The following is a 26,878-nucleotide window of genomic DNA, read 5'->3' as shown; positions in this document are numbered from 1 at the left end:
AGGGAGTCTAACCAGTGATACCAGCCCCTCCTGAAAGGGCAGTGGAGGCTGCAACAGGAAAGACACTTGGCGCTTACCCGGCCACAGAGGACATGGGAATCGGGCTGAACACGGAGGGAGGAGAGAGCATTCCAGCTCCCTGCAGTGGGGGCAGGGGCTGAGAACCGGGGCTGGGTCCAGACTCCAGATTCTGATTCCTGGAGATCTAAGGGCTTCTGCACCTCGGCAAGTCATGAGCAGGGCAGAGAGGCCATGCCACCGGGCGCAGCTGCCCAGCAGCACGAAGAAACTTAGTCCTCCTCCCCAGAGGGTTAAACTTTGCCTGTGCAGTGATGAACATCACAGCTTCTATCTTCCAGAACCCACCCGAGGACTGCAGGCAGCTTCAGGGGTCCACTGAATACCTGAAGTTGACCAGAAGACCCAAGATCAGGAGCCCCTGCCCTAGAGGGTGACCAATTCAGTCCTTGGTGTGTCACCTCCCCAACAGTTCTGGTCTAGGATGGAAAACCATTACAGGGGATTATAATTGCAACCTAGAACCAAAGCTCAGCAAGTGACTCCCTGCCTCTCCCGCCCCACGGGGCACCCCTCAGTCTATCCTTCTGGCTATCTAGGGGTACAGGTCCTGTTTTTTTTTCTTCTTTTTTTCATTCTTTCTTTTTATTAAGAGATAAGGTCTCACTCTGTAGCCCAGGCTGTAGCACAGTGGCACTATCATATTTCATGCAGCCTCAACCTCTCAGTCTTAAGTGATCCTCCTGCCTCAGCCTCTTGAGTAGCTGGGACCATAGGTGTGCACCACCACGCCCAGCTTTTTTTTTTTTTTTTTTTTTTTTTTGAGACGGAGTTAGCTCTGTTGCCCAGGCTGGAGAACGGTGGTGCGACCTCGGCTCACGGCAACCTCCACCTCCCGGGTTCAAGCGATTCTCCTGCCCCAGCCTCCTGAGTAGCTGGAACTACAGGCACCTACCACCACGCCCGGCCAAATTTTCTATTTTTAGTAGAGACGGGTTTTCACCATGTTGGCCAGGCTGGTCTCGAACTCCTGACCTCAGGTGATCCGCCCGCCTCGGCCTCCCAAAGTGCTGGGATTACAGACGTCAGCCACCGCGCCCGGCCTATTTTTCTTTATTTTTTGTAAAGATGGGATCTCACTACGTTGCCCAGGCTGATCTTGAACTCCTGGGCTCAAGCGACCCTCCCATCTCGGCCTCCCAAAGTGCTGGGATTTCAGGAGTGAGCCACCGCACCCAGCCTAATTCCTATTTCTGAGCCCCTCCATCCAACACCATATCTGGGTCCTGCAGCCCAACCTGGGCGCACAGCAGCTCAGGCCTCAGCCTCAGACCCCCAGTGGAGTGGGGACACGGGGTGCGGTGGCGGTGCCCCCAGCCCGCGCTTACCTAGGCGGAGGGTGATGTTGACCGAGGTGGGGTACTGCACGCCGAAGGCCATGGACGGGCTCTGCCACCAGGTGCTCTCGTCCTGGCTGTGGAAGTCGGTGAGGTAGGAGGCGTTGTGGTGGCGCTGGGGGTCGGCGGCGTCGCAGCGCTGGCAATGAGCCCCCGCGCCCGCGGCGCCCACGTGGGGACAGAAGTCCTCGGGCGGGCTGCCGCACGTGTGCGAGGCCTGGGCGAGCCGCCCAAACGCCGCGTTCTCGAACACCGGCAGGCAGCGCTGCGGGCGCCCTGCGCCGTCATAGCACGCGCCCATGCCCGCGCCGGCCGCCCGCGGTGCCAGCAGCGCCAGCCCCAGCAGAAGCGCAGCCGCCGCCATGGTCAAGGGCACCGACGCCGCGCGCTCTGCCGGCCCCGCTCGGCTAGGGTGGGCGCGGACCGCGCGCTGGCCGCCAGGACCCGCCTTCCCCTGCGGGGCGGGGAGGCTGGAGGGAGGGGCGGGCGGCGGCGGCCCCACCCCACTAAAAATACCAGGGACCGCGCCGTCCCCGGGCGCCCACTCCCACCTGCTGGACGTGCCCGGCAGTGCGCGGCTCGGGAGTCTGCCCCAGAGGCGACCCGGGCCTCTTTGAGCCTCAGTTTCCTCGTCTGTGGAGTGGGGTCGGTAAAGATGCAGGCTCATTCTCGCCATTGGGAGGCTTCAATGGCTGCTCATTAAACAGAAACTGTTCAGCAGTGCCTTGGAGTCCTGAGATAAAAGGGGACAAGAGGATCTATCTCTAACTGATCGCTACCGTTTGCGCATCTCCTCCTAGCAATAAAGTGTGCCCTGGACAGGGTTGTGAGATGGCTCCGCATAGCTCCTGTCGCCCTTAACCCTGAAAAGCACTCCTGCTGCCGGCTGCGCTCTGTCCCCACAGCAAAGAGATTCTAACCTGACATTTGTGACAAGGGTACCTGGTCTTATCACAAATGTCACCTCAGAGAGGGCTTCCTTGTCTTCTGCCCCAACCCCCATAAATGCCCCCTTTACTCCCCATTTATTAACATTAGCAAATCGAGGGAGAGAAGTCATTCGATAAAATTTAGCAGCCAGGTCGTGCGCGGTGGCTCACGCCTGTAATCCTAGCACTTTGGGAGGTGGAGGCGGAAGGATAACTTGAGGCCAGGAGTTCGAGACCAACCTGGGCAAAATAGTGAGACCCTATCTCTACAAAAAAATACAAAAATTAGCCCGGCGTCATGGCACAAGCCTGTAGTCCCAGCTACCTGGGAGGCTGAGGTGGAAGGATCCCTTGAGCCCGGGAGGTTAGGCTGCAGTGGGCTGTGATCATGCCATTGCACTCCAGCCTGGCCAACAGAGTCAGACCCTGTCTCGAAAAAAAAAAAAAAAAAAAGGCAGCCATTCCCAGACGAACTCTAAGGAAAATAGAAATAAATTTCCTGGCCTGGCGCGGTGGCTCTCGCCTATAATCCCAGCATTTTGGGAAGTTGAGGAAGGCAGATCACCTGAGGTCAGGAGTTCGAGACCAGCCTGGCCAACATAGTGAAACCCCGTCTCTACTAAAAACACAAAAATTAGCTGGGTGTGGCGGTGCGTGCCTGTAATCCCAGCTACTCAGGAGGCTGAGGCAGGAGAATTGTTTGAACCCGGGGGGCAGAAGTTGCAGTGAACTGAGATCATGCCATTGCACTCCAGCCTGGGCAACAAGAGAGAAACTCCATCAAAAAAAAAAAAAAGAAAGAAAAGAAAGAAAGAAAATTTTTGGAAGCAAGATGAACTGTAGTGGGCTGATTCACTACCAGTTATTTACACATGATTAAAACAATACGGTTGTGGAAAGGACTACAGAATAGACCCATGGAATAAGTTAGAGATTTCAGAACTATATCTAAGTAGAGTTAGTATATGATATCACCACTGGTACCTAAGGTTATTTTGGAAGTTCTAGCTAATACAATAAGACAAAAAACTTAAAAGATATAAATATTTATATCTTCTACTTACCTGAACATACATCTAGAAAATCTAAAAGATTCTACTAAGACTATTAAAATTAATAAGAGCTCCGTAAGATGGCTGACTACAGGATAGAGTACGAAAACCAATGCCAGCAATAGGCATTTTCTGGCTGGGTGCGGTGGCTCACGCCTGTAATCCCAGCACTTTGGGAGGCTGAGGCAGGCAGATCACCTGAGGTCATGAGTTCGAGACCAGCCTGGGCAATATGGTGAAACCCCATCTCCACTAAAAATACAAAAATTAGCCAGGCATTGTGGCACACCTGTAATCCCAGCTACTTGGAAGGCTGAGGCACAAGAATCGCTTGAATTCAGGAGACAGAGGTTGCAGTGAGCCGAGGTCACGCAAATGCACTCCAGCCTATGCAATAGAGCAAGACCCTGTTTTTTAAAAAACAAAACAAAAACAAAACAAAACAAACAAAAAACTGATGCCAGCAATGATGTAGGAAATGGTAGAACACCTAATAATAAATCTGGTATGAAATGTGCAAGATATAAATGAATCAAATTATAAAATGCTACTGAGAGACAGAAAACCTGAAGAGACCAGCATCTATATTCACGGATTTCCAACTGTTTAAATATACAAATTCTCCCCAAGTTAAAATATCATTTAATGTAATTCCAAATTGTTTTTTTGATGGTGTTATGGAAGCTTCTTTGTTAAAGTTTTCTCTTATGGTCAAGAACATGATTGCAGCAGACTCTTGATGGTCCACGCAGCTACCCTGAGCTGGGCTGTGCACCCATCCAAAGCAAATTCATCTATCAGGCACAGGAAACATGGCAGCCCACAGGAATTCTAGGAACCCACAAAAACTGTTCTAATATCTTTAAAGTCAGAAGAAAAAAAAGAACTTTTAGGCTGAAGAACATGTTTTAACGTATGATATTAATATACCCGTCTTTAGATCAATGCAATGGTTAAATATAATTTTTAAAAATGTTAGTGCCAGGCACGGTGGCTCATACCTGTGATCCCAGCACATTGGGAGGCTAAGGCGGGTAGATCGCTGGAGCTCAGGAGTTTGAGGCCAGGCTGGGCAACATGGTGAGACCTCGTCTCTACTAAAAATACAAAAAATTACCCGGGCATGGTGGCATACACCTGTGGTCCCAGCTGCTTGGGAGGCTGAGGTGGGAGAATTGCTTGAGCCCAGGGGGCGAAGGTTGCAGTGAGCCAAGATCACGCCACTGCACTCCAGCCTGGGTGACAGAGGGAGGCCCTGTCTCAAAAAAAAAAAAAAAAATTATAATTGTGGTAAAATACATATAACATATTTATAAAATTTACGATCTTAACCACTTTTAAGTTACAATTAAATAATATTAAGCACATTCACATTGTTGTGCAACCATCACCACCATCCATCTCCAGACCTTTTTTTTTTTTTTTTTGAGATGGAGTCTTGCTCTGTCACCTAAGCTAGAGTGCAGTGGCGCCATCTTGGCTCACTGCAACCTCTGCCTCCCAGGTTCAGGCAATTCTCCTGCCTCAGCCTCCCTGGTAGCTGGGATTACAGGCACCTGCCACCATGCCCAGCTAATTTTTTTATTTTAGAGACTGGGTTTCACTATGTTGGCCAGGCTGGTCTCGAACTCCTGACCTCAAGTGATCCTCCTGCCTCAGCCTCCCAAAGTGCTGAGATTACAGACGTGGGCCACTGCACACGGCCTCCAGAACTTTTTATCTTGCAAAACTGAAACTCTGTCCTCTTAAACAATAACTCTCTATAACCTTCTCCCCTCGGTAAAATAGAATTTTTAATATTTTTTAATAAATAAAGGAGCCCGCTAAGGCAAAACTGCCCAGGGTCCAGGAAAGTCATAAAGTGTCCATGATAATGTTAGAAATGCTTGTTCCTCGGTGCCATAAAGAAATACCACTTGAACATAAATTTAATTTCTTCAGCAAGGCTATTTTTACTTTGTGCAGAAAGGGTACACTCGCCAGCAGTTTTGCCACTAGAGTACACTGAACAAAGGAGACAGGGTCATTTATAACCTGACACGTCTACTTTACTGCTGTGTCCAGTTTCCATTGGCTGGAACGGGACTTCACATTCTGTATTTGTCCTGATTGGCTAGCAACTTAGAACTTTTTAAAAGAGGCAAAGGTGGAGGAGAACAAAGGAAGGAGGAAGAAATTTGTGGAGTGCTGAGAAAGGTAAAAACACTTCTAAGTAAGGAAGAGGAATAGGTTATGACCTAATGCCTGCTTGGACCAGTATAAGCATGCCAGGGCAAATATTTAGGCTAAATTGTGGGAGCTAAGAACATAAAGTACATTGATTTCTTTATTACGGCTAGCAGATATTTAAGAATGTTAGCACAGGTCTTTGAATAAATTTTGCTTCTGAGAGAAGTTACCATTTATTCTTAATTAGATGGGGAGGAGAGTCTCTTTGAAGAGGAACCTCTACTTTACTTTTTACAGTAACACCCGGCTGGTATCACTACAGCTAGGTGAAGTATTTGTAGTTCGCAGCATGCAGTAACAGTACAAGCAATAAGACTTTCACCTACAGTGAACTTGACCAAGGTACAGGTGGAAGGAGACGATGGTTCATCCAATCTCTGGTGCTTGAGAGTAGGGAATAGTGATTATAGAGACTGTGGGATTGGGTGGCCCTTGCTGAATGTCACTGATACCTTGAAGAGGGAAAATGACCAGGTCAGGGTGATCTTGGACCAATCCAAAACAAATTTAGAAAGCCAGAGGCCCTTGTTGGCAACAATTAGAAAAAAAAAAAAAAAGACCTGGTGGGGCATGGTGGCTCACGCCTGTAATCCCAGCACTTTGGGAGGCCCAGTCAGGTGGATCACTTGAGATCAGGAGTTTGAGACCGGCTTGGCCAACATATGAATCCCTGTCTCTAACTAAAAATATAATAATTAGCCGGGCCTGGCGCTTGCACCTATAGTTTCAGCTACTCCAGAGGCTGAGGCACTAGAATCACTTGAACCCGGGAGGCAGAGGCTGCCGTGAGCCAAGATGGCGCCACTGTACTCCCGCCTGGGTGACACAGTGAGACTCCATCTCAAAAAACAAACAAACGAACAAACAAACAAACCACACGGGGCAGACCGAGCTGAAAACTAGGCTCAGGATCTGATTGTAAGTTGCACTGGACTCCAGAGGAGATTGATTTCCCATCCCTGGAAAGCATCCTGAATCACAATCAGGGTCCGGATAGGGAAGAAGTGGGACCTTGAGACTTAGGGTGGGTATCTGGACAGATTCACTGAGAACCCTGAATCTCTAGATTCCTTTAACACTCTGGGCCTGAAGAAGGGATCCACTCCGCTTTTCTAGAAGATAGTGCCCACCACCCCACCACTGCTTGAAGAGTTTGCAGGAGCCTCAAATGAGGCAGGTGTCTATAAGGCCATCCTCGCCCTTCTCCTATAAGATGGTCCTTGCCCACCTCCCCTCTTGGCCAGAGGTCCAGCAACTAGGGAAAAGTCCAGCATGGCCTGACTGGGGAAGTTCTGAGCCTGCTAAGGATGCAGCAGGATTATCCCCCAAAGAAGTTTGCAGGGATTGGCTAATAGTGCTAACTTTATATATATAGTCATATGCTACATAATGACATTTTGTTCAGTGATGGACCACCTAAGATTACAATGGAGCTGAAAAATTCCTATTGTCCAGTGATGTCATAGCCATCATAATATCGTAGCACGAATACCTTATATTTTTAAATAAATTTAATGTAGCTTAAGTGTACAATGTTCATAAAGTCTACAGTAGTGTACAGTAACATCCTAGGCCTTCACATTCGCTCACCACTCGCTCACTGACTCCCCAGAGCAACTTCCAGTCCTGCAAGCTCCATTTATGGTAAGTGCCCTATATGGGTATACCATTTTTAATCTTTTATAGCATATACATATTTTTTTGAGATAGAGTCTCACTCTGTTGCCCAGGCTGGAGTGCAGTGGCATGATCTCGGCTCACTGCAGCCTCTGCCTCCCAGGTTCAAGTGATTCTCCCACCTTAGCCTCCTGAGTAGCTGGGACTAAAGGCGCCATCACATCCAGCTAAATTGTGTATTTTTGGTAGAGATGGAGTTTCCTTTTTTTGAGACAGAGTCTTGCTCTGTCGCCCAGGCTGGAGTGCAGTGGCACGATCTCGGCTCACTGCAAGCTCCACCTCCTGGGTTCATGCCGTTCTCCTGCCTCAGCCTCCCGAGTAGCTGGGACTACAGGCGCCCGCCACCACGCCCGGCTAACTTTTTGTATTTTTTTTTTTAGTAGAGACGGGGTTTCATCGTGTTAGCCAGGATGGTCTCGATCTCCTGACCTTGTGATCTGCCCACCTCGGCCTCCCAAAGTGCTGGGATTACAGGCGTAAGCCACCGTGCCCGGCCGAGATGGGGTTTCACTGTGTTGGCCAGGCTGGTCTCAAACTCCTGACCTCAAGTGATCCACTCACTTGAGCCTCCCAAAGCGCTGGGATTACAGGTGTGAGCTACCATGCCCAGCCCACATATTTTTACTGTAGCTTTTCTATATTTAGAGGCACAAATACTTATCATTGTGCTAAAATTGCCTGCAGTATTCAGCACAGTGCCATTCTGTAGAGGTTTGTAGCCTAGGAACAATAGACTACACCATATAGCCTAGGTATGCAGTAGGCTGTACCATCTAGGTTTGTGTATGTTCTCTGATGTTCACACAATGACAGAATCACTTGCCGACACATTTCTTAGAATACATCCCCATCATCAAATGATGTGTGGCTATGTTTACATATATATAGAGAGAGAGAAAGAGAGAGAGAGAAAAAGAGAATATATACGTGTGTGTGTATATATATATGTATATATGGGGAGAGAAGAATTAATTAATAACTTAAAATAAATTGAGGGAGGGCCAGGCGTTGTGGCTCACACCTGTAATCCCAGCACTTTGGGAGGCCGAAGCAGGTGGATCACTTGAGGTCGGGAGTTTGAGACCAGCCTGGCCAACATGGTGAAACCCTGTCTCTACTAAAAATACAAAAAGTAGCTGGGCGTGGTGGCACATGCCTGTAATCCCAGCTACTAGGGAGGCTGAGGCAGGAGAATCGTTTGAAGCCAGGAGGTGGAGGTTGTAGTGAGCCTGTATTGTGGCACTGCACTCCAGCCTGGGTGACAGAGCAAGACTCTCTGTCTCAAAAAAATAAATAAATAAGTAAAAATAAATAAAGAAATTGAGAGAGAGATTTATTTTAAGGAATTGGCTTACATGATTATGGAAGTCAACAAGTCCCAAATCTGCAGGATAGGCCAGCAGGCTGGAGACCCGGGAAAGAGCTGAAGCTCCTGTACCGCCTGCTGGCAGAATTCCCTTTTCCTCAGGGAGCTCAGTCTTTTTCCTACTAAGTCTTCAACCGATTAGAGGAGGCCCACCAACTTTATGCCTTCGCTTCCCTCAAAGTGTTCTGATTTAGACATTAATCTGATCTAAGAAATACCTCCACAGAAACATCTTGAATCATGTTTGGCCAAATATCTGGGTGGCGTGGCCTCTCAGGTGAACAGGTAAAATGAACCATCGCACCCTCCAAAGTAAAAGTCACGCTGTCTCTATCAGCGAGATGCACAATGCTTGGTGGGCCTCTTCAGGTCCTAGAAGCAGCATATTCTTCATGTAGGAACACTTCTCGGACCCACTTCTCAGGGAACAGGTGAGGCTACTCGCTTTGTATGTGCCCAGAGTAGGAAAGGGCTGGGCAGCAGCTCCAGGCCATTCATGAACAGCCCTGCCTCTTAGGCATGTGTGCCAGCGGGCCCCGTGGTGCTGGTGGAATCCATGCTGGGAAAGAACCATAATTATCGTGAGCCCCGGGGTTCTGGAGCAAGGCATGCCAGCCCCGCAGAGGGTTCTATGCCACTCAAAAGGCAGATCCTGGTCTACAAGACCGGGCTTTTGTACAGGCTGAGTGATGATCAAAGGAAATCAACGGACCACATGGCGGGTACTGCCATCAAGAGCTGGGTGGAGTCGGACCCACGAAGTCAAGGATGCAGACCCAACAGCCAGCCTTCATGAAATGGGAACGGTAGGTCCAGGGTCAGGGACGGGTCGTCCATAGTGTGAGGGAGTTCATGAACCGGTGGCACAGCCCCCATGTTGCCCCCCAGCTCTGATGCTTCCTCCTTGGCTCATACCTATAGCCTGGGAGGAAGGTGTTCCCTATGACCAGCTGGTGGAGGAAGAAAAAATCCCAGCCTGGCTCCCAGGTAAGTCAGTTCAGTGTGCAGTTATGGGACCAGAATGGACTGCCACTGCCCTTCCAGCCAAATCTGGGGTGGCCCTGGGGATAGTGGTCCCAATGGGCAGTGTTTGTACACCTGAGAACGATGCACAGAAACTCGTGGACAGTGGCAAGTGGCTTAGCAACCCATGTAGCAAGATTGGTGGCAGGGACATGCAGATGGACCATGTAGCAAGATTGGTGGCAGGGGCATGCAGATGGACCTGTGGGACGGGGCCAGCTTTGTTCTGGACCCTCCAGAGCTCAGGACCATGATGTAGGGGGAGATGATGGTGACAAGAAGGCCAGCATCCTTCCTCCCAGGCTCCATGGCAAAGCAGACCCTGCCTCCGCCACCCTAATTCTCAATCAAGGACTCTGCCTGGATTAATTAATTGGTCATCTTCTCAATTCAATCTGTGCGACACAGAAGCCATTGGCCACATGGTGTTCAGGAACAGACCTGGGTTCAGATTCTATCTCCACCTCCTGTGTGGCTGTGGAGGGTAGTGAAGCCTTGGTCTCCCCTCCTTCTTGGATGCCTCCCTGATATGCCAAGCTTGCCACCCTAAGAGCTACTCTTCCCGGCTGCCTTTGCTGCTAGGGCCCTGTATGTAGAATAGGTCCTGCCAGGCCGGGTGCGGCGGCTCATGCCTGTAATCCCAGCACTTTGGGAGGTTGAGGCGGGCAGATCACCTGAGGTCAGGAGTTCAAGACCAGCCTGACCAACATGGACAAACCGTGTCTCTACTAAAAATACAAAATTAGCCAGGCGTGGTGGCACGTGGCTGTAATCCCAGCTACTCATGAGGCTGAGGCAGGAGAATCACATGAACCCGGGGGCCAGATGTTGCGGTAAGCCGAGCTGAGATCGCGCCATTGCACTCCAGCCTGGGCAACAACAGTGAAACTCCGTCTAAATAATAATAATAATAATAATAGGTCCTGCCAGCCGGGTATTTTCACTTGAGATTTAGAAGATGGAAGTGGGCAGAGGCCATCTTCTGCCCTTCTGGTGGATTTTTCTGGTGCAAGTGAGGTCACAGAGAAGGGAGGTTTTCAGCCTGACCTGCTTCCCATTCTCCAGTCCTGCGTGTGCTGAGAGGTCTCTGTGTGGTGGCGGTAGCAGGAGCAGTGCTTCCTGACTCTTATTTCCAGCCCCTGGATTGCAGGCACAGCTGTGAGTTTTCAGAGCCAACAGCGGTGGCAGCCTCAGAGGTGGTGGCAGCTTCCCTGGTGGGTCAGTTCTGCGGTGTCCCAGGTATCAGCCCCTCCAGTCCTCCCAACCATTTCCTGAGCACTTAGTGACCTGTGTTCAATCCTTCCTGTTGGATATACACAAGCACATGGCAAGTGCTTGGCTCAGAGCTCAGCATGGAGTAAGTGCTCCATAAATTGTTATTGCTATAATTCCCACAAGATCCTGCTCTCTATGAGCCCATGGTCTGGTTAGAGAGGAAAAGCGTTCATTAAAAAATAGTCTGATTGGCCAGAAGTGGTAGCTTATGCCTGTAATCTCAACACTTTGGGAAGCCGAGGCTGGTGGACTGCTTGAGCCCAGGAGTTCAAGACCAGCCTGGGCAACATAGTGGAATCCTATCTCTACAAAAAATACAAAAATTAGCCAGGCATGGTGGTGCACACCTGTAGTCCTAGCTACTGAGGAGGCTGAGGTGGGAAGATCACTTGAGCCTGGAAGGTAGAGGCTCCAGTGAGCTGTGGTCATGCCACTGCACTCCAGCCTGAGCAACAGAGTGAGATTCTGTCTCAAAAAAAAAAAAAAAAAAAAGAAGAAGAAGAAAAAGAAAAGAAAAGAAGGAAGGAAGGAAAGAAAGACAGAGAGAAAGAGAAAGAAGAAAAGAAGAAGGAGGAGAAGGAGAGGGAGGGAAGAAGAAAGAAAGGAAAGAAAGAAAAGAAAAAGAAAGAAAGGAAAGGAAGGAAGGAAAAGAATGAAAGAAAGAAAGTCTTTTTTCTAACTAAAGAAAAGAAGGGAACAGCCAGATGACATTCCAAGGCTCGTTTGAACCTGTTTTATAAGACTGAGTTGTGGTCATTTGTCCCTCGGCAAACGTACTGTTACCCACTGTTGAACTTCTCCTGTCTTGGGCTCACAGTCAGTGAGGCAGAGGCGTGATATGCATAGGTCTGGACGCTGCAACGAGACACATGCAACAAGACAGTGCCTGGAACGGGTGCAAGGAGGGTGGGGTGGCTCGTTCTGCCTGGAACTGGAGGATGCTTCCCAGAAGAAGCAGCATTTAGGCTGAGCTGTAAAGGATGAGTAGAGGAAAGGGCGTCCCAGGCAGGAGCACGCGCAAAGGCCCAGAGGCGTGCACAAGCAGGGGAGGTCGGCATGTGTTTGCAGTGTTGGGTAGGGAGCTGGTCCTGTGGGGTGAGGCTGGAGCAGGGCACAGAGGCCAGAGGATGTGGGCCTCTCGGCAGTGGCAGTTTGTCCTGCGAGGGTCTGCAGGGGCTGGAGGTTGTGAGCCCCTGGGGGACAAGGACCACGTGTGTCCCGGCCTGGTGTCCCCGTGGCCTGCACTGAGCGGTGTTCAGGAGCATTTCTGGAATGAATGAGACCCCCGCGGCCGGCAAAGACGGATCCTTTAGGGGCTGGGCTAGAGATGAGGGCTCCTTCAAGAGGCATCAACTGGGTGCTCACTGACCTCGCCCAGCCCTGGCAGCAGCCCTTGAAGGGACCGTCCTGCCTGGGCTGGTGATCTCATTTGCGGAGGTCTCCCAGCAACCTCGTGCCTTCTGCCTTCCCAGCTTCTCCTCCCAGCTCTCACCGTCCAGCTGCTCAAGTTCACCCGGGACCAACCACCAGGTGGCGATGTTGGCCACAATACGGGGACGGGCCCCTCTCTGGCCCCTGGTGGCCTAGGACACCCCGGGCCATTGCTGCACAGGGCAGGGGAGCTGACCAGCGCCGTGGAGGGGGGCGCGGAGCTCCATCGGACAAAGCTCCTTCCCGAGGCTGCTTTCTGGGTGAGTGGCACAAGCACGTCTCAGGCCCCGAGAGCAAGAGGCTCTGCCGTCTGACCCCCGCTAGCCCTTCCCCAGCCGCTCGGGGCCCCAGCGCTGAGTGTGGAGCAGCCAGGTTTATGGGGAGCCCAAAGGGGGAAGGAGGGGCTCAGAGTGGGGGTGACTCCCAGGAACACACAGCGGGAGTGGGCAGACCCAGGGCCAGAGCCAGGTCTCCCTCCATCCCACTGCTGAGGACAAACTCCCCGGGCCCCCATCCTGAGGCCCCTCAGCCTCCATGGGGCGGCCGGTGGGCACTGGCCTCTCAGACTGACCGCTGTGTTCAGACAGCGTGAGTAGAAGGGATGGCACTGTGGGTGGGGTGGCTAAACATCCCCTGCTTCCCTGTGGCCTGGGATCCGATAAGATGGGCCTATAAAGATGGTTGGATCCAGGGCACAGGCTGTACAAATGGGGAAACTGAGGCCCAGGGAAGAGAAGCAGTTTGTTGGGGACACATTCAAGGCAGGATGTGACCGGGTCTCTCCTATCCCTGTGGTCAGCTCCTCCTAGGATAGGGTTCGGGGAGGGTCTACAGAATTCAGGAAGCAAAGTATCCTCCCCGGGCATCGGGGTGTCTGTGCACCCACAAAAAAGTCTCAGAATAACCCCCCAAATCTGGGCAACAAGGGGACAATAAACACCTGCACTGCCGGAAAGGGCTGGGAAGGAGCCAGGAGAACTGAGGAAGCCAGTCTTTGGGTGAGGGCTGCCAGCTCTCCATCAGGGGAAGGTTCTGAGTGGCACCTTCTGGTAGGGCCCCACACCCTGGCAAGACATCTGACCCCTGAAGCCGGGGGTCCCCTCTTTACACACATGACCAGAAACCCACAGAAGCCACAGGCTGCATGGCCTCAGTTTCCCTGCAGCCTGGAGCTTTGGGGCCCCTCTCCAGATCCCCAACCTCCAACCCCTCTCCCTGACACCTGGTGGCAGCCCCTGCATCCCTCCCCCAAGTGGAGCCCTGCTGCCACCTAAGTACCTCCCACCATGTCATTTGAGGTCCCCTGCTGGTACTAGTTCCTAGGGTCCGTAAGTGGCACCTGTGTCACACTGGCCTTGACCCACTGGTGGGTGTGCCTGGACAGGCGGCTTTGGTCCTGTGCCCTACCCCAGGATCACCTGTGTCTGGGATTGCTCTGGGAGCAGGGACCCCTGAATATTTCCTTCAGGGGTTCAGGGAGCTGTCCTTAGCACCGGCAGAGAGAGCTGATTCGGGAAGGAGAGGAGTGGCGTTGGAGAGGGTCTCCGGAGGGGAAGTGGGAAGGGTACAACTGAAGAAGCAACTGCAAGTGCCAAGCGGGGAGGTGGGAGGCGAGTGAGAGGAGCAAGGCGGACGAGGGGGCCTGGAAGGGGGACAGAAATGAAGCTGGCAGGGCTTGGTGAGGGTCTGCCCATTGTCCTAGCCGTAGCAGGGAGCCAAGGAAGGCTCTTGAGCAGCAGATGGTCCAGGCCTGTTTCCTTTTGGAAGATGGGAGTGGAGTCCAGGGGAGCAGCCTGATGATGGTGTGGTAGGAGGAGCTGATGCGTGTGCACGCATGTGTGTGTGTTCCATGTGTCTGATATGTGTGTATGTGTGTCCAATATGTGTGCGTGTCCAGTGTGTGTGTGTGTCTCTGATGTGTGTGTGTGTGTCCAGTGTGTGTGTGTCTCTGATGTGTGTGTGGGTCCGATGTGTGTGTATGTGTCCCATGTGTCCGATATGTGAGTGTGTGTGTCCAATATGTGTGTATGTCCAATGTGTGTGTGTCTCTGATGTGTGTGTGTGTGTCTGATGTGTGTATGTATCCAATGTGTGTGTGGGTCCGATGTGTGTGTGTATCCGATGTGTGTGTGGGTCCGATGTGTGTGTGGGTCCGATGTGTGTGTATGTGTCCCATGTGTCTGATATGTGAGTGTGTGTGTGTCCAATATGTGTGTGTGTCCAATATGTGTGTGTGTCCAATGTGTGTGTGTCTCTGATGTGTGTGTGTGTCCTGTGTGTGTGTGTCCGATGTGTGTGTGGGTCTGTTGTGTGTGTGTGTCCGATGTGTGTGTGGGTCCGATGTGTGTGTATGTGTCCCATGTGTCTGATATGTGAGTGTGTGCATGTGTGTCCAATGTGTGTGTGTGTCCATTGTGTGTGTGTATGTGTCCGATAAGGAATGTGCCTGCGTTGGGGACCTAGGGGGCTCCTGCAGAGGCCTGGCCTTGTGCTTGGGCTACCAGCAAAGGTAGCAGGCTCCCTCCCGGAAGCCCACCTACTAAGGGTTAAAACCTTCCGGGAGAAGAAAGAAGGGAGAAAAACCCTGTTGTTCTGATTTGCTTAATGAACGTTAATTAAGAAGACAGAAGAGAGCTGATTCCTTCAGGACAGAGATGAAAGGCCTGTTAATTAAATCTGGGGAGATCGGCCAGGGCCCTGCTGATCTCTCCTGACAGCTCTGCAGCCTCGTTGGAGCCCAGCGTTGGGGGCACAGCGCAGAGGGGAAAGGCAGCTCCCCCTGCCCCCACCCTGCAGCTTTGGAGCCCAGACTCACTGTGGTATCTTGGGTGGGGCTCTGCCCTTCTAGGGCGGCTCAGTTCCCCATGTGGACAGCAAGAGCATTGGTCTAGGTGGTTCCCAGGATGCCAGGTCTGGCTCAGAGGCTCTGTTAAGCCTGTGCTCTCTGTCCGCATGCCTGGGTCTCGATCTTCCCTTCTGTTCGGTGGGGAGACATCACTTGCTCTGCAGGCAGGCTTCAAGGGCAGGAAGTGAAAACTGGGAGGTCTGCCAAGGGCTTGTGGACAACTGTGGAAGAAAGAAGTTAGCAACTGGCGACATCAGCCCCCAGGATCCCACTGCTAGGCCCACGCCCATCTGTCTGTATTGCAGCATATCCCTGGGCACTGCCCTGCCCCTCTGAGCAAGGACAAGGTCACCCCCTGAGAGGCCTCCTGGGAGTCAGACCTGGGCTGAGTGCACCACCTCCACAAGTAGTTACTGTTATTCTCCCCATATTGCAGACAGGGAAACTGAGGCCCAGCCAGAGACAGCTCCTTGCCCAGGACCACTCTGCTCGTCAGCAACAGAGAGCCGTGTACACACCCCAGTGTGCCCGGCCCCAGAGCCTGTGCGCCTTTCCACTTTGCTCTCCATTCATTCATTCATCCATCCATTCATTCATTCTATTACTTTAGGGGACATTTGTTCTGTGCCCTCCCTGGGCTGGTTGCTGAGGTACAGGGGATAGACTGTCTGGGACCTCATGGTGCTCCCCAGAGAATCAGGAAGACAGACAGTGACCCAGGAAGCAACCTGGTGAATTAGTTAGTGACTGATCACGGTAAGAGCCGCAAAGGAAATAGACACAGGGCTGGGATGAGCTCCATGAGGGGGTGAGCAATCAGGGAGGCTTCTCAGAGGAGGTGACAGCTCACTGGAGACCTGCAAGATGAGATGGGAGGCAGGATGGAGAGGGAGCTGATGGGAGCTGACAGGGGGCCCCTCAGCTGTCACCCTCACGGAGCATCTCCTCCTACAGAGTTAACAGATTTAGACAGGCCAAGGGACATGACTGGCCTCAGGGCATGTCACTACTCAGTCTAGCAACTGTCTCAACCTCCCTGCTGTGTTCAGCCTGAGGTGGGTCTGGGCCTGGATGAGTCAGCCCTGGGCAGCCCTTCAAGTTCAGGGGGTTCAGAAGAATAAAGGATGTCCCCTTCTCGGTGGTGCAGGGGCCACAGGCTGGGCTACAAAGGAGATAAACGTGGTTATCTATCCATTCATTCATTCATTCCTTTATCCACTGGACAGATGTTTACTCAGCCCACACTCTGGGCCCTGGGCTGGACACAGGGGACAGAGTGATGAATAATGATGAAACTGTCCCTGCACTTTAGGGATCCAAGAAGCTGTTAATAACAACACAAGGCTGTAAGCACCAGGCAGTGAGAGTGGAGACCTGATGCCTAACACAGTCTGGAGAGATCAGGGAGGGCTTCCTGGAGGAGGTGGAGTCTCAGCTGAGACCTGGAGGAGAATGGAGTATCCAGGAAAAGGGGTTGGGGAAGAGCATCCCAGGCAGACAGCAGCATGTGAAAGGCTCAGAAGCGGAGGATGGGGGTGGGAGGATGGGCATTTGAGGAGTGGGGAGGGTGGAAAAGGGGAGCCAAGAAGGGCCCAGGACATCCTGCTGGAGAGCCTGGACTTCACCGGGGGGCCATGGGGAGCTGTGGGAAGATTTTCTCTTGGGATGTGCAGGGAGATTGGCCCGCTGGGGGTGGTGTGGAAGCAGAAATGGTTTGGCAGCTGCTGCAGGGACCCGAGGAGAATGAGGTGGTAGCCTAAACAGGAGCAGGGAGGAGCTGGGGTCTGCAGGACCCGGGAAGCAAACTGTGGCCCCTGGGCATGGGGGTATCTGTGCCAGAAGGCACTGGGGACAGAAAATCACCCAGTTGGGCTGGCGGGGTGGTGAGCAAAGCTGAGGCTGGCTCTGGGTCTCTGGCTGGGCCCTGGGTGGGCGTGCTGTGCTCAGACAGGGTCGCCGGTCCAGGAGCAGGCCTGGGGGAGATGGGGAAGCCGTTGTCAGTGCTGAAGTTCTGTGCCCAGAGGAACCCAGGAGGCCAGACTTCTCCTGGCTCGGCCCCTCCCACGCTGTGTGTCCTTGGGCAGGTCCCTTCCCCTCTCTGGGCCTCAGGGTTCCCATCTGTATGATAAAGGGAAGCAAAGGATGTCCTCTGAGGCCTGCCTAGAGTGGCTTCCCTTTCCCAAGGCTCTCCCAGGGGTCCAGGCTGTCCCCCCACCAGTGAGAGGCTCCAGCCCCAGCCTCTGGCCCCTGCTGGCCCCCACTGCCACTTCCTCTGGGGACCCAGGGTCCCCAGCAGCTTCCGTTGGGCCTGGCACTTCCCTATAAAATGCTGGCAGCCACGTCCACACTGATACAGCACCCCCTGCCCAGTGCCCAGATACGGCCCCCACAGCTCACAGTGCCACGTGTCACCCACAGATGGGCCCGGCCAGGGATCCAGGAACCCATCCCGTGGGTGGATTAAACACCTCAGGCCCCTACAGTGGGCTTTGTTGTACCTCTGACCCCACCACAGACGAGGAGCCCTTTGAGGGCAGGCAGGGAGTGGGTCTGACTCCTCCCCTGGGCAGGTGGCAGGGTAGATGCTCACAAAAGGCAGAGGGGATGAATGAAAGCTGACAAATGAATGGGAAGTGGACGGAAGAATGGACAGAAAAGGAATGAATGAGTGAGAGTGAATGAATGATGGTGAATCAATGAAGCGGGAGTCAGGGGTGAATGTGTGCTGCTTCAAATGAGAGCCTTTCCTCCCTGGGTTCTCCAGCGGCCTCTGCCCCAGCTCTGCGGGCCTCACTGTCCCTACAGGAGGCACTACTTGATTGCCCCCTACCCAGTTCTGGTTTCAGTGACCACACCTGCCATCCTGTCCCCTTGCCCACTGGGCTGGCTGCAGCCACACGGGCCTCCTTCCCGATCACACAGAGCACGTTTCCACCTCGGGGCCTTTGCACTTGCTGCTCCTCGTGCCTGGAACGCTCTTCCCACACTTTCTTCTGCATCCCTTTATGGAGAGGCCGTCCCAGACCCTCCTGCTGACCTTCCCCAGGACTCCCCTGCCACTCTGCGGGTTTTCCCCCCTAGCCCTCACCGCACCTGCTGGGCATGTTTTTGCTTGTCTGTTTGTGGCCCGTCTGCCCCCTCAGGCCATGAGCTCGGCCTCGCTTGCTGCTGTGCGGCTGCAGGAGGAAGACACTGGTCTTCGCCAGCAGTTCTCACTGCAGGGAGGCTGTCCTTAAACAATAATTTCGTTTCCGAGCTCTTTCTGCTGAGGACAAGGAAACAGCAATTATAAGTCACCAGAACCCAGTTATAACCCAAGTGTAAGTCAGCAGAACCCATCCAGGGACGGGAGGCACATGCACAGCTCCGGCTGCCCTAGGGCCTGGCCATCTGAGCGCCACGTGCACTGAGCCTCACCTGAGCAGGACCCCAGTCCGCACCAGGGGCCTGGCACGACCCTGCAGGGCCCCCATTCCCCTCGGGTAAAGGGGATCTCTTGAGCTGAAGCTCCTAAGACTCCAGAACTCACGGGCCTCTTCTAGACCCTCAGGCATCCCTGGCCCCCCCATCCCAGGACTTTGCACCCGCGGGTCCTGAAATGCCCTTCTGCCTCTTCTCGCCAGGGTGGGGTGGCGGCTGACTCCTGCTCCTCCTCTAGGCCTGGGGTGATGCCACTTCCTCAGGGAAGCAGTCCCTGGTGCCCCAACCCTGTGACACCTCCCCTGCTTCCAACTTTGTGGCATTTCTCACACTTGTCATTAAGTGAGTATTTCATGTCCCTCTTTCCCACTTGACTGTCAGCTCCTGGGGACAAGAATCCTGGGGCTTCCTGCTGTGTCCTTGACATACACCCAGGAAGGATGTGCACTAGGTGCTCAATAAATAGTGCAGAATGAAAGAACAAGTGAATGGGTGAGTGTGTGAAAGGAGGGAGGGAGGGCAGAAAGCAGGCAGAAGGCTGGGAGAAAGGAACTGGCCAGCGAAGCTCGGGGAGGGGGGTGGCTGTTCTCCCAGGACTGATGGCTTTTAAGCGGGGGAGTGAAGGCCAAGGGCAGGGAAGGAGCCAGCAGGCCGGTGACAGGGAAGTGATCTGCGAGTGCCTCGCCCTTCACGTGGCTTTATTTTGAAAACGTGAACTTTACAAATGTCAGGGAAAGGCGGGATTCTCCGCCTGGGACCGCCAGGAGCCGATTAGCATTCCCGGCGATGCGCAAATGGGGCCCTGCATAGGCCGCGGGAAATTTCTGCCGCCTGCTGGGGCTGATGTGAAGGCCAGGCGAGGGGGCTCAGAAAATAAAACTGTAAAGCTGCCAAGTCTATGCCTGCCCAGGAGGCACGGCCTGGTGGAGGCCCCTGGGGGACAGAGAGGTGGATTCAGTATAACCCCCAACCCTCCGCGGGACAGGGTAAAAATGGGGGCCACTCAGAGTAGGTGGGGTTAGGGGGCACCCCCCGCTGTGTCAGAATCAGAGAGGTGACCCCTCCTGCTCACCCCCATTGGGCCAGGCTCCGTCCCCACCACCTGCCATACAAACCATCCAGATTCATCCTCAAGATGATCTTATGAGGGAGGGGCGTTGCCCCCAGGCTGCAGATGAGAACACTGAGGCTCAGGGAAGCAGAGGGCTTTGCCTGAGATCGCTGATCCTGAGAGGGTCAGGCAGGATTGAAACCCAGTTCTCCAACTCTCTTAGCAGCCTCCTGGCCCTGTCCTTCCCCACTTCTCCCAGCTTCCAGGACAAACCCCATTTAGGACAGTCCACAGCCTCAGTGTCCGGCTAGGTCTCCCCCTGCTTGGGGAGCTATGTGAGGACTGCCAGAGCTTTCACATGCACGTCGCTCCCTCTGCTCGGAGCACCCTCCCCACTGCAGCCCCTTGTCTTCCCCTTCAGGTCTCCGCGGAGATCAGTCTTCTCCATAGTTTATTGTCAGTCCCCACCCCCGTCTCTGCAATGGGGATATTCTTTGCAAATTGATTTTCATGCACACACGTGTCTCAAGGATGTGCTGGGGGCTATCGGGTTTCCACTGGGATCTGTGAGGGGAGGACGTGGGAAGGGTATCTGTGTGTTGGTGTGTGTTTGTGTGTGTGTACATGTGTGCATGTTGGCGGCGTGTGTGTGCGTGTGTTGTGGGTGCGTATGTGTGTGTGCACGTGGTGTGTGGCTGTGGGATGTATCTGTGTGTGTGGCAGGACCCATGGGGCCCTGAGGGGGACAGGCCTGGCGCAGGAGCCCTCAGCACAGCCAAAGGAGGAAGGCGGCTGGGACTGGTGGCGGAGCGAGGCCCGTGGTGGTCACTGGAGCTATGCAGGAGCGGAGCTGTGAGCTTGTTGTAGATAAGTCCCAGCCTGGCCCAGGGTGCTCTGGGATCGGGGAGACACAGGATGGGAGCACCTGGAAGTGGGGGGCTCCAGGCCAGTGGCAGGTCCAAGACCACGGGGAGGGACTCAGCAGGAAGTGGGCGGCTCCAGGCTAGTGGCTGGCCCAAGAGCACGGGGAGGGACTCGGCAGCCCACTTGAATCTCGGAGCCCAGGGGTCCACCCGAGATGGGGACCGAGGAGAGGCTGTGGCCTCTCCAGCTAAGTCCTCCCACAGGCTGGTGTCCGGTCCCCAGCAGGGGACAGTCCTGGGGATCAATGATGACCCCAGGCTCAGCCACTGAGCCTCTCTGTGACTCCGAGGGCAGGGCCCCGCGAAGGGCTGGGCCGCTGTCGGCCGGTTCGCGCATCCCCCGCACCTGGCACGGCTAGCACGGTCCCCGTCCGACTCTGTGCAGTGGGTGCCTGGCCTGTGCCCACGCATGCAGGGCCTCCCGCCATCCTCCAGGCAGCCCTGGGACAGAGGCTGCTCTCCTGTGCTCAGATGAAGAAGCGAGGCGCAGGGATGGGGGACTTACCGAGGGTCCCAGGGCTCAGAGATGCTGGTGCTTGGTTTTTGAAGATGTGGTTTGACTCCAGAACGGAACTTCTGGCATGCCCGTTGGGCATGGAAGCAGGAAGGTGCCTGTGAGAGAGCCCGGCAGCCTCACCCTGTGGGGCGTGGGGTTCCCATGGGAGAGGAGGGCAGGGGGAAGTCCTCAGTGCTCTCAGCCCACAGAAGGGCTGGGACATGCCCTCCTGGGCCCTGGGCAGAATCCTCCAGGATTCCTGCAATCGAGTGGCAGAGCGGCATGGGCTTGGGTCCTGAGTATGGACACCACGGCCCAGTGGCACGCAGAGGGCAGGCAGGGCAGCCCGCCAACGGAGGCCCCTAAATAACAGGGAGTGACCGGCACGTCTGCTGCTCATCCCAGCCGGGGGACAGGCTCCGGCTTCATAACGTGTGATCGATGGGCCTAATATGGGACTGGAGACGGCGGGCTGGCAGCCCCGGCCTGGCCCGCCGGCTGCCATTTGCCCACATATTTATTTATTTATGCATTCTCCTCCATGGCAAAAGCCCAAAAACAATAAAAGAAATTGAATTGCATATCAGATGGGACATCAGAGGGAGATACGGCCATAAATTGCACTGTATTTATTCCATAAATATCAGCACCTCCCGAATCACCAGTGCCCGTTATGAAGTTATAATCAGGAATCTGGTCCTGTGATGCTCGCCGCCAGCCCCTCCCCCGCTAGACAAACAAGCCAGGTCCCTGAAGTCAATAACCACTTCCCCAGGCCACCTGTCCCCATGAAGGGACATCTGCCCATCCCAGTTGCCCCACCCAAAGTGAGGGACCACAGGAAGGGCAGGAGGTGGCTGGAATTCCAGGTGGCCCAGGCCTGGATGTAGCGAGCCCGGAGGGAGCACAGTTTCTCCAGGCCCTCTGTCTCCCTCCTGCCCCCCAACCGTACTACAACCTGGTTGGAGCCACCATCCTCTCTCCATTGCCACTTTGTGTGTGTGTGTGTTGGGGGAGGGGGGGTGTGTGTAATTTACATTCAGTGAAATGCATGCATTACAATTATGTAGCTCAATGAATTTTTACATGTGTATGCACACATGAGACCACAGATCAAGGCAAAGAACATTTGTCACTCCCAGAAGTTCCCTCATCCTTCTGCCCACTGCCATCGAGATCACCTCTGTCTTCTATCACCAGAGCACAGTCAACAACTTCTAGAACTTCAGACCAATGGAATCCTATAATAGGGACTCTTTTGTGTCTATTTTCTTATTTGTTCACCATTAAAGTAGGTGAGATCCATCCGCTTCATTACAAGTGTCAGGATTTGGTTCTTTTTCACTGCTGTGTAGTATTCCATTCTGTGAACTGACCATAGTTTGTGCATCCACCCTCCTGTGGGTAGACATTTGGGTTGTTTCTAATTTGGGGCTATTATGAACAAAGCTGCTATGAATGTTTTGGAGTGAGTCTTTTTGTGAATATAAGCACTCATTTCCCTCGGGTATGGGCCCAGCAGTGGGATTGTTGGGTCACAGGGGAGATGTATGTTTAACTTCATGAGAAACTGCCATGTTCTTCTTCAATGTGGCCAGGATGTTTTATAGCCCACAGCAATGTGGGAGCATTCCAGTTTCTCTGTGTGGACATCAATGCTTGGTGTTGTCTGTCTTTAATTTTTCTCCACTTTGGCAGCTGTGTACTGAGTTCTCTTTGTGGTTTTAATTTGCGTTTCCACCTCCATAACTGCACTGGCTGCCCAGTAGAATCCCTGTGATGGCTTCTGCCCCCTGAAATCCATCCTGCCCCAGCAACCAGAGAGACCCTCTTGCCCTCCCTTCTGCTCGAGACCCTCCAAAGCTCTCCCCCTCCTTCTGTGCTCCCCTATACTCGCCTCCACGCCGTCCCTCCGCTTCCTGCCTCCGCTCCCCTCCCCTGGGCTCTGCTCCATGTTGCCTTCTCACTGCCCACCTCCTTCCCTGCCTCTTTTTTCTGCCCAGCACTTTTCACCCCACTTCTCATTGTCTGTCTCCCACTCCCCCTCTCTGATGTCAGCTCCCCGAGGGCAGGGATCTTTGCTGTGTTCACGGTTACATCCTGGGGGCCTAGACCCATGCCTGGCACAGAATGCAGGCTCGATCAATATTGATCAATATTGGCTGAATGATGGAAGTAAGTCTTTGGTAGGTAACACAGCATTTTGACAAGAGCTGCTTTTTAAAAATGGAAATGAAATGCACATAACATAACATTACCCATTTGAAAGTGAACAATTTGGTGGCATTTTGTTCTTTCACACGGTTGTGCAACTGCCACCCCATCCTTCCAAATGACAGAGCCATTCGGCCGTGGCCTCCTCAGCCTCCGAACTGACCTTAGTACTCTCCCTCGCCTATCATTTTAAACAACTAAATGTCTCGGAGCTTCTTTCCAACTCCCTCCCCATCCGGAGTCTTGCCATATCCATGAGCTTCTCTCCTGCGGTGTTTTAAGGACAGTTAAAATGTCCCATCTTGAGGTTGGCTATGGGGCCAGGCTGGCTGACGAGGAGCTTCCACCAATGCTGGGTGCCCAAACCTCCTCCCCAAGTGGCCATTCCTGGGTCTGATTGGGAGAATGAGGGCAGTGTCTGACTGAACTCTTCCCCTCTGTTGAGGACTCTGCCTAGGTCCACGGGTCCCCTGGAGGTGGGACCCTCCTGGGTGACTCTGGGCACTGCCATCCAACCCCACATGCCCCACCTGGCTGCTTCGCTCACACCCCCCAGTCTCCCACTTCCACGCACAAGAATCTTTCCTTTCCTTTGGCTACAAACTGGGGGAGGGGAGGACGACCCAATTTATTTGGCAACAAATAAAGAGCTGCCATGATTAAGATGGGGGGGAAGTTTAAAGGAGGAAAAATACCTTGGGTAATGCCATCTCCTGCGTCTTTATATTCTGAAACGGATCGTTCTGGACATGGGCAGAAGGCCTGATTTAATATCCTCATGGAAAATACTGCACCTGATCCAATTACCACGGGAATTTTGATACAGTCAGCAGTCAAGATGAAAGATTCAGAGGCGCTCACCGCAGGAGTAAACACAGAGACCGAATTACCCGGACTCCTCTGGGAGGAGTTAAGCGGTTCAGGTCGCCAGGAGGGCACCTCAGGCCAGGCTGGGGGGGGGTTCCACAGAGGCCAGTATGCCACAGCCCCTGCGGCGACATTTCTCGGTCCAACAGCACAGCCCTCCGTGCCTCATCCTGGGCCGGGGAAAGGCCCTCGGGTCTGGGCCCTGGTGTGGCAGGCAAGGGCTCTATGCGGAGAGACATCCACACACCACACCCATGGCCCAGCTTGCCCCGAGGGGCCTCCTCTTTCCCAGTCCCTCCCCACCCCATCGCGGCCAACCCCTATCCATGCTGTCTTCTAAACAACTCTCCACGGGCACACCTTGCTGGTCTCTGTGCCACCAGGTCAGTCCTGGCTCCAGCTGCTCGCCTGGACGCCCGTGGCAGCCCACTCCCCTGCCTCATCCTGCTGCCCTCCTGGGACAGGTGGCTTACAAACATGCGGCTAACCTTATTCCTTTCATGCTCAAAACCCTGCCATCACCTCCAGGTGTTCTCAGGAGAAGGTCCAAAGTTAGGATGGAGCCAGGCACGGTGGCGTCACACCTGTAATCCAGTACTTTGGGAGGCTGAGGCAGGAGCCCAGGAGTTTGAGACCAGCCTGGGCAACCTACTGGGATCCTGTCTCTACAAAATATTGTTTTAAATAGCTGGGTGTGGTGGCACATGGCTATAAGTCCCAGCTACTCAGAAGGCTGAGGCAGGGGGATCACACCACAGCACTCTAGCCTGGGTGACAGAGCAAGACCCCATCTCAAAATAAATAAATAAATAAATAAATAAATAAATAAATAAAAGTCAGGATACACCTTCAAAGTGTCCCACCTGGCTCCTGCCCTCTCTGCAGCCTGTCCCACCCCACCTCTTTCCCCAGCACCCGCCGGGCACCCCTCCAGTGCCCTCCTGCCTTGGCTTTCACGGAGGCTGTTCCTCAGTGAGCAGGTCCTTGGCCCCTCCTCACCAGGTGTACTCGCACCTGGCCACAGCTGAGATCTGTCAGGTCTCAGTGTCAACACCACCTCCTCGGGTGTGCCCCTCCTGTCCCAAGACCAGGCCAGGTCTTCTTGCTGCACACTCTGAGCTCCTGCCCTTGGCCTGCAAAACACCAGTATGACTATAATTCAAAACCATTCAGTACCATCTGTTGAAAGGCCATGGCCCGGCCAGGCAAGGTGCCTCATGCTTATAATCCCAACACTTTGGGAGGCCGAGACAGGCAGATTGTTTGCGCTCAGGAATTCAAGACCAGCCCGGGCAACATGGCAAAACCCTGTCTCTACAAAAAATACAAAAAAAATTAGCTGGGCATGGTGGTGCATGCCTGTAGTTCCAGCTACTCAAGAGACTGAAGCGGGAGGATCCATTGAGCTCGGGAGGTCAAGGTTGCAATGAGCCATAATCCCATCACTGCACTCCAGCCTGGGCGACAGAGTGAGACCCTGTCTCAACAATAACAAAGTCCATCCCCCATTGGATTTGAGCTGCACAGATGTTGCAAGGGCCAGAAGCTGCCGATCTCTGTCCCATGTGACTGTGTGGCCTTGGGTGAGGTTCCAGATTCCCTGAGCCTCAGTTAACTGATCTGCAGAATGGGACAACAATGTCTAATTCACAGGGGTGGTGGGAGGACGGAGCAAGATCCTGAAGGACAGGAGCCTGAGGAAGAGCTTAGGCTCTGCAGCCAGACTCTCTGGGGCCAAGTCTTTGGGGCCGCCCCTCATCAGCTTGCCTCTCAGTTTTCTCATTGGTGAAATGGGTTGTTACAGCAATTATACGAGTTAATATCTATGAAGCTTCATCACTGGTCCTAACAAATGATGAACCCCGTAGCACTGTTAGCTCCTGTTACCTTCATTGGTGCCTTGAATATCTCCTCCTGGATATTGCCAGGGCTCAGTGAATCCTTCCTCCCTTGAATGGGAGGGTTAACTAACCGCCTCTGAGCAGCCCCTTTATTAGACACCCAAGCGTGTCCTGCTGAAACCAGACGTTAGCCCATGAACCGTAAACCTGTGGCTGTGACAGCAGCCGAGCCTATCACCTTGAACGCTCACCTCTTGGGAAGGGATATGGCAGGTGCGGAACACAGGGGGAACAAGGTTTGAATGGGGACAGGGATGTATCTTTGTCAGTGGCTTGCTGTTCTCTGGGGTGGCTCTAGTGCACAGAAAAGATTACTCAGACAATGGCTTTGATTTTAAACATTAACATTTGTTTCATGAATGTTACGCATTCAAAAATGTTCTTCTTTCTTAAGCTTTTAAGTTCACTTTACACATGTTACTTATTCTATTTAAAATCCAGCACATCAGAACAATCCCTTCTAAGGACCATTTCCTTACTGTTTGGTCCCATTTACAAAACCAGTTCATGGAGCTCCTTGAAACATTTTGAACTGCATAAATAAACTTAATCGATTCAGTTTCCTTTGTAAGTACTTCCACGGCCCAACTGAGAAACCAGCCTCGCTACAGACTGAAGCACATCTTTTGTGCGTCTAACACATTGAATTACAGATGTGGTGAATTCCAGCACTGTTTCCAAAGTTTCTCAGAGCGCAGCTTCAAGTCTCAAGTCTAAGCCACGTGCTCAGTTTCACATTTTAAGTCAGAATCGTGAGGCTGACC

The 26,878-nt window shown here is 53.3% G+C and overlaps 1 protein-coding gene across 3 annotated transcripts in view, besides 4 other annotated features; it reads right to left on the bottom strand.

The window, feature by feature from the left end:
* LAMC3 (laminin subunit gamma 3) overlaps positions 1–1,820 on the bottom strand; it is an 85,300-nt gene extending 83,480 nt beyond the window's left edge. For all 3 annotated transcript variants that reach the window (XM_011518121.2, NM_006059.4, XM_006716921.3), the window contains exon 1: positions 1,407–1,820. In XM_011518121.2, coding sequence (XP_011516423.1) covers positions 1,407–1,779 — 373 coding nt within the window. In that variant the 5' untranslated portion in view covers positions 1,780–1,820. The remainder of the gene's footprint in view (positions 1–1,406) is intronic.
* Positions 12,393–12,442: an enhancer, noted in NCBI's record as "active region_29169". NCBI's record gives its function as "activates an Ori minimal core promoter by ATAC-STARR-seq in GM12878 lymphoblastoid cells {active_cell/tissue: GM12878}" and the evidence as "EXISTENCE:reporter gene assay evidence [ECO:0000049][PMID:35858748]".
* Positions 12,553–12,612: a silencer, noted in NCBI's record as "silent region_20410". NCBI's record gives its function as "represses an Ori minimal core promoter by ATAC-STARR-seq in GM12878 lymphoblastoid cells {active_cell/tissue: GM12878}" and the evidence as "EXISTENCE:reporter gene assay evidence [ECO:0000049][PMID:35858748]".
* Positions 15,350–15,906: an enhancer, noted in NCBI's record as "H3K4me1 hESC enhancer chr9:133870475-133871031 (GRCh37/hg19 assembly coordinates)". NCBI's record gives its function as "activates a minimal SCP1, AML or CMV promoter by ChIP-STARR-seq in naive H9 embryonic stem cells {active_cell/tissue: H9 hESC(naive)}" and the evidence as "EXISTENCE:reporter gene assay evidence [ECO:0000049][PMID:30033119]".
* Positions 24,219–25,090: an enhancer, noted in NCBI's record as "H3K4me1 hESC enhancer chr9:133861291-133862162 (GRCh37/hg19 assembly coordinates)". NCBI's record gives its function as "activates a minimal SCP1, AML or CMV promoter by ChIP-STARR-seq in primed H9 embryonic stem cells {active_cell/tissue: H9 hESC(primed)}" and the evidence as "EXISTENCE:reporter gene assay evidence [ECO:0000049][PMID:30033119]".

Source organism: Homo sapiens, chromosome 9 (genome assembly GCF_000001405.40).
Source record: "Homo sapiens chromosome 9, GRCh38.p14 Primary Assembly".
NCBI classification, from domain to species: Eukaryota; Metazoa; Chordata; class Mammalia; order Primates; family Hominidae; genus Homo; species Homo sapiens.
Note: the sequence above shows the minus strand (reverse complement) of the source record. Positions and strands in the feature narration are given on the sequence as shown.